Genomic DNA, 12,684 nt, shown 5'->3' with positions numbered 1-12,684 from the left:
GCTTTTGAAATGTATGTGGTACAACGTTATACAATAATTCATTCAAATTTTTAAATGTTACTGTCTGTTGCTACATCTTCTTTCTCTTTTCTAATGTTAATTTTGTCTTCTCACTATTTATCTTGGCCAGAGTAGCCGAGCTTTTTGTCTATTTATTATTCTTCTCAAATGATCCATTTTTAACTTTATTGAATAAATTTGCCTTAAAATTTTTCTGTTTCATTAACTCCTATTTTCATATTTATCAATTTACTAGAACTTAACTGGTTTTTTCAAGCTTTTCTCCTGTTTTCATAATATGAAAAATTTCAGTCATACAATTTGAAGGAGCATAATGATTATACATTTTCTCATTAACTAGATAAAACAAATGCATTTTATGTCTGTATATATGTAAATATGTATTTTTTGTTGAACCATTTGAAACTAAGTTGCAGACCTCAGCTATTTCACTGTTAAATACTTAATAATGCATCCTTAAAAATGAGGAATTTTTGCTACATAACCGTAATATACTTATTATGCCTAAGAAAATGGACAATTCCATCATATCATTTGGAGAGTCCATTCAAGTATCCCAATTTGTCACAATTTATTTTTCTCAGAAGACGATCCAATGCTTCATCCATTCTACTTGGTTGTTAGGCCTCTTTAGTATGTCTTAATAAAGAACAGTCCTTCCATGTGTGCACACCCATGTGCAGGGGTGCCCACACTGTTGTTTTGTTTGTATTTAACCACAACTTTTTTTTTCAACCACATTGACTTTTGAAAAAAATTTAATTTAATTTAATGTTAAGTTCCTGGATACATGTGCAGGATGTGCAAGTTTGTTACATAGGTAGACATGTGCCATGGTGGTTTGCTGCAACACCTAGGTGTTAAGCACAGTATACATTAGCTGTTTTTCCTGATGCATCCACATTGAGTTTTTAAGAAAACAGACATCATCCTGTGGAATATTGTGCAGTGTGGATTTGTCTGATTATTTTCTTGTGTGGTTAAGTCATTTTTCTGTCCTCTGAATCTACTATAATCTATAAGTCATATATAAGTCAAGTTATATTCAGATTAAGTTTTTTTTTTTTTTTTTGAGAGGAGTCTCACTGTCACCCAGGCTGGAGTGCAGTGGCGCGATCTTGGCTCACTGCAAGCTCCGCCTCCCGGGTTCACGCCATTCTCCTGCCTCAGCCTCAGGAGTAGCTGGGACTACAGGCGCCCGCCACCACGCCTGGCTAATTTTTTGTATTTTTAGTAGAGGCGGGGTTTCACCATGGTCTCGATCTCCTGACCTCGTGATCCGCCCGCCTCGGCCTCCCAAAGTGCTGGGATTACAAGCGTGGGCCACCGCGCCCAGCCTCAGATTAAGTTTTTTGGCCAGAATACCTTATCAGTGATATTGTATCCTTAATGTTGCATCCGATTAGAAGCCATGTAATGTTAAGTTGTCTCACACTTGTTGATGCTTAGTTTGCTTTGTTAGTTAAAGTCACCACTTTCAAATCTCTGTATTGTAAGGCTGTGGCATTCCCTTTGCAGTTAGCAAGTAATTCATTAGGTGACTACTTGGGCATCATGCAAATGTGTATTCCTCCCTATTCACTATCAGTTTGATTGTCTATTGAAAATCCTAGTCTGATTCAGTTTTTTCTTTTTGGGTTGTAGAATGTTGATTTTTAAACTCTACTAGTATTTTTTTTTCTTTTTCTTTTAGTGATATTCTTCTATAAAGAAGAGCTTTCCCTTGTCAGTGGGGAATGAACAACATTAAATTTTCCTGTGCTCAAATTATCCCAAATTTGGCAGTTGTGGGAGTCCCTTTAGGCTGGCAACTGTGTCCTTTTGACAAAACCCTGTAACAGTATTTCCTACCTTTTCAGCTAAAGATGATGTCTCAGGATGGAATTAACCATTTCTCCAAGGGGCTTTGGTTTCTTCTATAGAAGAATTACATTTAGAAGCCAAGATCTGGGTGCTAAGTTATTTGCATCTAGGTCTTAATGACTTCTAGAGCAAGGAAATAAAGAAAGAAATGAATACTTGAATGATGGAATGACTGAATGGAAGAAATAATGGATTTATATTGATATTTTGAGTTTAATTTTAACATTATAATAATCTTTCTTAACAACTTTGATTTCATATTTGTAACTCTATACTCTGACAGTGAAAATCTTGCTTCCTAAAAAATAAGAATATTTATTTGCTTTTCTCCACAACATAATAAAATGTGTATTTTATGTATAGATATAAATAAAGTGTCACAACATCAGGGAAACCACTGAGTAATGTTTAAGACATCCGGGCAGTCCGTACTGTCCTATATCTGGCTAAGAGAATGCATTCAAAGTAAAGGGTGGTTGTCTTCGCCATTTGGCATATGGTTGAGTTCACTTGTTTCAATCCATTTCCAATTTTAGAATGCAGAGCTTCTTTTCCTTTTCAATGTAATTTTGTTTAAATTTTTATAACACTTACGTGGCTTAAAAGTGAAAATTGGTCGGGCGCGGTGGCTCATGCCTGTAATCCCACCACTTTGGGAGGCTGAGGCAGGCGGATCACTTGAGGTCAGGAGTTCAAGACCAGCCTGGCCAACATGGTGAAACCACATCTCTACTAAAAATACAAAAATTAGCCAGGTGTGGTGGCAGATGCCTGTAATCACAGCTACTTGAGAGGCTGAGGCATGAGAGTCACTTGAACCCGGGAGGTGGAGGTTGCAGTAAGCTGATATTGTGCCACTGCACTCCAGCCTGGGAGATAGGGTGAGACTCAATCTCAAAAAAAAAAAAAAAGTGAAAATTATGTAAAGAGAAAGAGGTTTACTCAGAAGTTTCCCTTTTATCATTATTCTTTCTATACTGTTCAACCTCTTGGTGTCTTTGGAAAACATTTTTATTAGTTTCTGGCTTATCCTTCAATGTTTCTTTTGGTAAAAATAAGTGTGTATATGTAGTTACATTTTGTGTATTATGTGATGTCTATATGTGTGCATTCTTATTTCTATGTGTTCCTTACACTGTTCTTCACTTTGCTTTTTATCTGCAAATCTTAGAGATCATTCCAACAGTTTTTTTTTTTTTATTCTTTTTTGTGCTTGTGTATTACTTCATTGCTTGGACAAAGTAAGTTTTAGTCAATGGTACTTTTCTGATGGTCGTTTGTTTCCCATCTTTTACTGTTAGATATGATCCCACATCAAATAAACTTGTGCATATGTATCACCAAGATTAATTCCTAAATATGAGATTTTTGGGTCAAAGAACAAATGCCTCTATATCATTAGATAGCCCTAATTCCCCTCCACAGAGGATGAGTCAGTGTTACATGTCTGTTAGCAGCATGCAAGAGTGTCCATTTTTCAGTCTTGCCAAGAGGATTTCGCAAAAATTTTGAAGTCTTGCCAGTCTGATAGGTCAGATGTGATATCCCAGTGTGGATTTTTTAAGTTTTAAGAGTTTTATTGAGACACCGTTTATATACCGTACAATTTGCCATGTGAAGTATATAATTTGTTGGTTTTGAATAGATACAGAATTCTGTAACCATCACCACGGTCACTTATAGAATATTTTCATCACCCCCAAAAGAAATGCTGTACTGTTAGCAGTCACTTCCCATTTCTTCCCAATCACTCCCCACAACAACCTGGCTCTAGGCAACCACTCATCTACTTTCTGTGTCTAGAGAGTTGCCTATTCTGGACATTTCATATAAATGTAATCATACAATATGTGTTCTTTTCTGACTGGACTCTTTCACTTAGCAAAATGTTTTCAAGGCTCATCCATTTTGTAGCATGTGTCAGTACATCATTCCTTTTATGGCAGAATAATATTTCAGTGTAGAGACACACCAGTTGATGTGTTTATCAACTCATTAGTTGGTGGGTATTTGTGTTACTTCTAGTTTCTGGCTATTTCGAATGATGCTGCTGTGAACATTTGTGTACATGTCATGTGTAGAATTATGTGTTCATTTCTCTTGGGTATATAACTAGGAGTAGAATTGTTGGGTCTCATGGTAACTGTTTAAAATTTTGAGGAACTACCAAAATGTTTACTGAAGTGGCTGCACCATTTTACATTCCCTCATGCATTTGTTCCCTCATATATTCCCATCAGCAATGGGATGTGCTTATCATGCAAAAAGAGACTAATATAAAATAAATATTCAAAGAAAAATAAAACCTGAGGACCTAATAGGAAAATGGCAAAAGACAAAAATATATGAAGAGAAAGACACATGGCCATGTACATTCCCATCAGCAATGTATGGGCGAACCAGTTTCTCTACATCCTTGTTAATATCTTTTTTATTCCATTCCTGTGGGTATGAAACACTATTTCATTTTGGTTTTGATTTGCATTTCCCTGATTACTAATGACATTGAATATTTTCATGTGCTTATTGGCCATTTGTATATTTTTGGAGAAATGTTTATTCAGATCTTCTGCCTATTTTTAAGTTGATTTATTTGTCTTTATTGATGAGTTATAAGAGTTGTTTATATACTTTGCATATAAATTCCTTATCAGGTACAGGACTTGTAAATATTTTCTTCTATTCTATAAGTTGCCTTTTCATTTTCTTGATCATGTCCTTTTAAGTGCAGAGGTTTTTATTTTTGATGGAGTGCAATGTATCTGTTTTTTCTTTTGTCACTTATGCTTTTTGTGTTGTACCTGAGAAAGTTTTGGCTAACCAAGATCATGAAGATTTATTCATCTTCTAAGAGTTTTTTAGTTATGACTGTTATGTTTAGGTCTATGGAGCTATTTTGGAGTTAACTTTTGTGAATGGTATAAAGGAGTCTAACTTCATTCCTCTGCATGTGGCTGTCCAGTTGTCCCAGCATCATTTGTTGAAGATTGTTTTTCCCCATTGAATTATCTCAGCACTCTTGTCAAAAATAAGTTGACCACAATTATTGGGGCTTATATCTGAACTCATAGTTATATTCCATTGATCTGTATATCTATTCTTATGTCAGTACCATAGTATTTTGATAATTCTATAGCTTTTTAATGAGTTTTAAAATCATGAAGTTTCAATACTCCAAGTTTGTTCTTCTTTTCAGAATTATTTTGACTAGTCTAGGTTCATTGTATTTCTCTACAAATTTTAGGATCAGTTTGTAAATTTCTACAAAAAAGTTAGTCAATATTTTGATAGGATGTTCTGTTGAATCTGGAGACCAATTTGGAGAGGACTCTATTGCCATTTTAGCAAAATTAAATCTCCCAATATGTGAGCATGAAATATTTTTCCATTTACTTAGGTCTTTAATTTGTTTCAATACTGTTTTATGGTTTTCAGGGTACAAGTTTTGCAATTATTTTGTTAAATCTATTATCAAGTATCTTTTTCTTTTAGATGCTATTCTAGATGTAATTGTTTTCTCAGTTTTATTTTCAGATTGCTCATTGCTAATACCAATATAGTTTTAATTTGCATGTGTTTTCTTATAAATGAAACTAAACATTTTTACTTGTGTTTAAGGGCCATCTGTCTTTTTCCTCATATACCTGTTTGTATCTTTTGCCATTTTCCTATTAGGTGCTCAGGTTTTATTTTTCCTTGTTGAATACTTATTTTGTTTATTTTTAGTCTCTTTTATCCATCATAATCACACTTAAAACTCTAATTTTCCTCTCAGTATTACTTTGTCTCCTCATTTTCACTATTATTTTACCACTTGATATAATAGGTTGGGTTATCCAAGGTATAACTCTGAGACTAAGTTTTCAAGCAGAAGTTTTATTGGGTAGTACTTTTTGGAACCATTCTTTCCTTATACCTATAAGGAACAGAGGAAGGTAGGATTAGGCAGAAGTTGAACTGCCATCAAGTTGTAACACAGGATTCACTCAGTCCCAGGGGAGCTGAGAAGATGGGATGACCTTTCAGATAAATCCCTAGTTGAGTCAAAGGGTTTAGTCTCCTTACCCCATTTCCATCAATCACTGGAGGTGAGCTGTGCCAGGGACATTGTGTAGTCTCAGAAGAAGGACTTAGCCATGAGCCATAAGCAGGCAACACTTTGAGTGAGATTGGGTGGATAATGAATACTTCTGGCATGAAGGAGACACCTGGGCATCACCTCACAGAGTCACTACATAAATATTTTCTTTTAAAAATTCATTAAACCTTGGACTGTGAGCTATATATGTTGTATATGATTTTTCTAAGGAAATCCCCAATATCCCAGTTTCTAAGGCAAAAGTCCTCTGAATACTTTATCATTCTTAGAAATTAGCAGGAATTGCTTCTGTAAGTTTTGATAGTTATTAAAATGAGTATTGGATTTTCAGTGGTTTGGATAGCATGACGTATAAAAGGAAGTTAGTCTAGTTCTTATTCTGCCCATTAGTAGTCCTTATTCTACTAATGCAGGTAGATTTGGCCTGCATTATTTTCCTGTTAAATTTTTGTAAAACAGGACCCACAGAGTTTGCTTTGAAATTTAAGTGAGACTGTAAGAGAAAGTCCTCATACATTGTAAGCAATTGGCAGAGTTAGAATCCATGTGCATTTAATTAAATACATTTAAAATTGCATTAAGGGAAAGATCAGGTTTTATGGGCTCTGCCCATCGTACTAGTTAATGAACTGGGCTCTTTAGAAACATGAGATGGAAGACATGACATTGCTCTTAACCTCAGTTGTCATAGTTCTCACTTAGAACAAGCTTCTTACAGTATTGAGTATGCTTGTTAATATTTAATGGAATAGAAAATGTTCTTACCCAGTAAAATTTCTCAACACAAGCCAACTTCTTCAACTTAGTACTTGTATCAGACACCTTCTGACCTCCTCAGATTGCCTTGGCTCTACCCGCCTCTCAGACCAATCTGCTTCCACCAGGCTTGGACCTTTCTCCTGCCTTGGGAATGCTAGATTCTTCTTCTTGGCTTCTGCCTTATAGCTGGGTCAACAAGCCACCTGCTCAGAGTTTCTGGCTTCTGCCATCACTTTTGAACCCTAGACTCGGATCTTAATTCCTGATAGGGTATCAGAGGCATGGGATATGGCAACCTGGAAATCTAGAACAGTTAAATAAGAGTCAGGAAGAGACATGGACTTTTTTTGTTCTTCCCATGGAACACATTTCTTCATCCCATGGCTTCTCCTTGCAGCTTATCTGGGGAATTCCAGACTGCCAAGCAAAGCATCTGTCGAGCAAACTGTTATGTGTCTTTGTAGTTCTTTGTGAAAGAGCTATGCATACTTTACATTATTTCATATCCCTGCTTGCCTCCTTTTCTCACCCACCCTGCCTGGTATCCCTGCTGTCAAAATAATACACCAACATCCTCATCATTGCCTTGTTTTCTTTGGGTTTCTTGAGGATCTGCTCTAAGGCACTGTGTACCTAGTGATGTAGCAGACAGTTCTAATACATTAGGAAAATCTATTTTCTTAAGATTAGGTGAGAGATTTTATACTTTAAGAATATTTAAGGATAACATTGGGTATGCATGAGATTCATTATATTAGAAATACCTAAATATTTTTTATTTGCCGTTGTTTAGAGTGTATTTAAAAATCTGATTAAGTGATATTGATGCACGGACCAAAGCCTCGGCTTTTGGTTCTGGGTTTTTTGTTTGTCTGTTAGTATTCTTGGCACTTTGCATTAAACTCATTGTGCACACTTAGTTTGTACAATTTGATAACATGTATGTCTTTAATTTCTAATAATTAAATTTGCTATTGCTACTGATGAGTAAGTCATTTTGGTCAAATTTTGCTTCATATCTCTGCGTCTTGTGCCTTTCGTCTATAGATAGGTAAATTAATTCTATTCCTTGAAACAAGTGTTTCAGTACTAACCAATAAGATAAAAATAATTTTGTAGGTATTCCTGAAACTTTCAAAGATAAATCAGTTTCATATTTTGAATGATAAGCCCTTCCACTTATTCTTCTATCCAAGATGTTACATTTTTTCTTAGTGGCAGCACCAAAAATGTTTAAAACTGCTATTGGTCTTCAAATCTTGCAGAAAAACAACACAATAAGTTAGAGTTTAATTTACTGGTATAATATTTACACCATTAAATATTAAATGATATCAGCTAAATTTGTAGACACGAACATGATGTATAACCAGATATTATAATGTTGCTGTCATTTTATCTGCTAACTGCTGTTAAGCAGCTATATTTGGTTTGTAACCCAAAAGTTACTTTTAGAAACTGGTAATTTGGATTGAAAAGTATAAATAGTTGAAATTTTTAAAAATCAAGCCCAAGCTGTAGGATCACATATTTATATATTTATAACCTGTTGTCTGTTTATAAAATGCAAATTTTTCCCTTAATTTTTAGCATAATTATATTTGTTATTGATATTCTCTATAAATATGATTTTGGAATATTAAAGAATGGGTGATTGGAAAGTTTGGCCTTTCTCTGCCTAAATCTGCACTAGCCCTATGTAGCACCTACTTCATTGCCTGTAGTTCTGTGCTGGCAATCCTACTGCCACTTGTAACTGTGATAATTGGCTTACTACTTACCATTTCTTTTCAAAATGTTTATACATTTGTTTTTATTACAAAAGTAACATATGCTCATGGCCAAACAAAATGTTTTCAAACAAAACCCCCCACAGTATAAAGATAAAAAACATCCATTATTCCACTAACCAGACTTAATCCCTGGTCACACGTCAGTTTATAAACCAGACTTAATCCCCACATGTCAGCTTATGTGCCTTCATCTTGTTTTCTCTGCATGCTCACATGACTAAAGATGGGATAATAAAGTAATACTACTTTATAACCTTTATTTAAAAACTTACTGTTGTTTATCATGGCATGTCTCATGCTTATACATGTAATTCTACATCATCATTTTTAACGACAGCATAGCATTCTGATCTTTTGAGCAATACAATTTATTTAAGCCATTTTATAAATTGCATTTAGAATGCAATTAGAAAAATTAATTACTTTTTGGTTTTTTGAGTTGGAGTCACCCAGGCTGGAGTGCAGTGGCATGATTTCCACTCACTGCAACTTCCACCTCCCGGGTTCAAGCGATTCTTCTGCCTCAGCCTCCCAAGTAGCTAGGATTACAGACACATGCCACCACACCTGGCTAATTTTTGTATTTTTAGTAGAGACGGGGTTTCACCATGTTGGTCAGGCTGGTCTTGAACTCCTGACCTCATGATCTGCTGCCTCGGCCTCCAAAAATGCTGGGATTACAGGGGTGAGCCACCATGCCTGGCCAATTAGTTTTTTTTCTTGGCAATAATAATAATAGGCAATATTTATTGAGTTCTTACTAGGTTCCTGGTAATGTTATAGATGCTTTGTATCTATTTCTTCATTTTATCCTCAAAACCCTATGAGGCAAGTACTATTATTATCTCTTCACGTGAGGAAACTTGCAGCACAGAAAGTTTAACTTGCATAAGGTCACATGACTAGTAAGAGGTTAGAGTCAGGATTCTGAATCCAGAAGGCCTGGCTCCTCAGCTCCAAGCTCTTAATCACCACTTAATAACTGTTTCCCTTATAAACAGCATTGCAGGAACTATTCTTGAACATACATTTTTCACACTTACTTAATTATTTTTGTTGGATGTACTTTTAGAATTAAACTTGCTGGTTAAAGGGTATGCGTATCATCAAATTTGTGCTCTAGAAAGGTCACACCAGTTCATGCTGTGAGCAGCAATACGTGAATGTGTCTCCTTTCCCATACTTTCTCTAGTACTCATATTATTATTTTTAATATTTGCCAATATAATAAATGAAATTGTTTCTTTTGACATTTTTGCTTATTTAATTACTGTAAGGTTAACATGTTTAAAAGCATATTTTCCCATGTAGTTCTTTTGTACATTGCTTTTCACTCTCTTCCTTGAGTTTTCTTAAGCTGGTGCTCGTCTTTTTTATGACTGATTTGTAGGAGTTCCTTTTCTTAATACAACTATTAATGTATTGTTGTGTATTGGAAATATTTCTCTGAGCTTATGATTTATTTTTGAAACTTGAAAATATTTCTCTGAGCTTATGATTTATTTTTGAAGCTTTTTAATTGTCGCCATAAGAAGTTTAAAGATTTTGTTAATTCTTTATATCAATTTGTGTTGCTTGGGTTTGATGTTATCTTTTTTTTTTTGAGACGGAGTCTCGCCCTGTCGCCCAGGCTGGAGTGCAGTGGCCGGATCTCGGCTCACTGCAAGCTCCGCCTCCCAGGTTTACCCCATTCTCCTGCCTCAGCCTCCCCAGCAGCTGGGACTACAGGCGCCCACCACCACGCCCAGCTAATTTTTTGTGTTTTTAGTAAAGACGGGGTTTCACCGTGTTAGCCAGGATGGTCTCGATCTCCTGACCTTGTGATCTGCCCGCCTCGGCCTCCCAAAGAGCTGGGATTACAGGCCTGAGCCACTGCACCCAGCCTTAATTGTGCTTTTTAAACACAACATTAGGTTATACATATTTCCTGTGTCATTCAAATCCTTTAGTTTACAGCATTTTTTTTTCTTTTACTTACAGCCAGGAATTTTTGTATAGAAGATGACAGACTTGTACTTATTAAGTTCTGTTTGTATAAAAAAGTGTATCTTTAGTTATCTATTCCTCATGGTAAATCCATAAACATAGCTGTTACTTTCAGACTTTTAAAGATTAAAAAACTGAAGTGTAGAAAGTATTATTTAGGATTACAGAGTTAAAATAGAACTTGTAACACTTCTTGATCTGTTTTAGTTAAAACTGAGAACTAGGCAAGAAAGTAATCCTTACTTTTTAGAGAGAAAAAGCCCAAACTGGTGCACAAGGATTTCTATGTTATCGTTGTCTCTTGGTGAGGTAGTTATAGGTATTAGATTGAACCATGTAAAACTGCTATTTTTCTAGTTCAAAATGGCCAAATACTGTAGTTTTATATAATACAGTCTTAGAGTAATGTGAAGTCTATTATTCCTTGGGTTCAGGTGAGAACATGAGTTTGTATCACGTAAAAAATTAAATATTACTGATTGGAGATGATATTATACATTATCCTCTAGATGTTCAGTTATTTTTTTCTGGAACTCATGATGTTTTATAACTTTATATGCTCCATATATAGTCTTCCTCCAGATACTCTGTGTGAGGAAGGATGGAGCAAACTTTATTACGCAGCTATTAGTGTTAGTAAGTATGCTTCAAGTCTTAGTTTTCAAAACAAAAAGTAATTAGAAAGGATACTTTTTGACCTTGGTCTCACTGAAAAGGAGATAGTAGAATAACCTTAGATCTACAAATGATTACTCCGCAAGCTAATTGCTTGATTGTAATATATGTGGATTAGCAATCAATTGTTTTGAAAAATATGCATTGTAATTTGAATTTCTATATGAAATAATAATGTATTTTGTTATATTACAAGGGAGCAGTGATTTTTTTTTCCTAGTAATCTCCAGTCAGTAAATTTTAGGTTAGTGCTGATAAGAGAAACGGTGAATGAAGTAAGTGATTTGCAGGTGTTTTACCTCACCAGGGTGATGCAGAGTTTTTAGAATATGTGAACTCTTCTCTGGAATAGACAGTGGTATCCCTTTATTTGCAGTTTCACTTTCTATGGCTTCATCTCTTTGCACATCATATCCACTCTGTATGTGCTACCTACCTGTTCGTTACTTAGTAGGCATCTTGGTTATTAGATGGACTGGTGTGGTATTTCAGGGCTTGTGTTCAAGTAACCCTTTTTTAACTTAATCACCCCAAATGCAAGAGTAGTCATGATGGCATATTGTTGTAATTGTTCTATTTTACTATTAGTTATTGTTGTTAACCTCTTACTGTACCTCATTTATAAATTCAACTTTATTATAGATACATATTTACGTGACATATCTCTTAACAACAGGGATATGTTCTGAGAAATGCATCATTGTTAGCTGATTTTGTCATTGTGTGAATATCATAGAGTGTGCTTACACAAATGTAGATGGTATAGTCTACTACACACCTAAGCTATATGGTATAGACTATTGCTCCTAGGCTACACAGCTGTACACCATGTTACTGTACTGAATGCTATAGGCAGTTGTAATACAATGGTGAGCATTTGTATATCTAACCATATCTAAACAAAGAAAAGGTACAATAAAGATACACTATAAAAGATAAAAAATTGTACACCTGTGTAGGGCACTTACCCTGAATGGAACTTGTAGGACTGGAAATTGCTCTGTGTGAGTCAGTGAGTGAGTGGTGAGTAAATATTAAGGCCTGGGACATTCCTGTACACTACTGTACACTTAGGCTACACTAAATTTATAACAAAATAATTGCTCTATGACATTTTGATGGCTGTGACATCAGCCGGCAATACTAATTTTTCAGTTTCATTATAAACTTATGGAACCACCCTCATATATTTGGTTTGTTGTTGACAAAATGTCATGTGGCACATGACTGTATAGGAAGAAATATACAATATATAGAGTTTGATACTATTCACAGTTTCATCCTGTATTCAGGTTCTTGGAACATATCTCCTGCAGATCATAGAGGACTACTGCATCTCTCTAGTGAATAACCAGCCTTAGTTGTTGAACGTTGCTGATGAGGCCAGAGTCAAAGGTTTCTTATTCTTGTAAAAATAATCCCTTGAGTCCATCATTATCTGTGAGAATGCAGTGATTAAGCAATAACATCTGCCTGGCAGTTAATGGT

At 35.2% G+C, this 12,684-nt stretch overlaps 1 protein-coding gene across 15 annotated transcripts in view, besides 1 other annotated feature; it reads left to right on the top strand.

Annotated features, from left to right (window-relative positions):
• The window catches only part of FAM13A (family with sequence similarity 13 member A), a 331,226-nt gene that overhangs the window by 68,254 nt on the left and 250,288 nt on the right, over positions 1 to 12,684 (top strand). The window lies entirely within an intron of this gene.
• Positions 753 to 1,252: an enhancer, noted in NCBI's record as "H3K4me1 hESC enhancer chr4:89908831-89909330 (GRCh37/hg19 assembly coordinates)". NCBI's record gives its function as "activates a minimal SCP1, AML or CMV promoter by ChIP-STARR-seq in naive H9 embryonic stem cells {active_cell/tissue: H9 hESC(naive)}" and the evidence as "EXISTENCE:reporter gene assay evidence [ECO:0000049][PMID:30033119]".

The sequence above is a fragment of the Homo sapiens genome, chromosome 4 (genome assembly GCF_000001405.40).
Source record: "Homo sapiens chromosome 4, GRCh38.p14 Primary Assembly".
Classification (NCBI taxonomy): Eukaryota; Metazoa; Chordata; class Mammalia; order Primates; family Hominidae; genus Homo; species Homo sapiens.
Note: the sequence above shows the minus strand (reverse complement) of the source record. Positions and strands in the feature narration are given on the sequence as shown.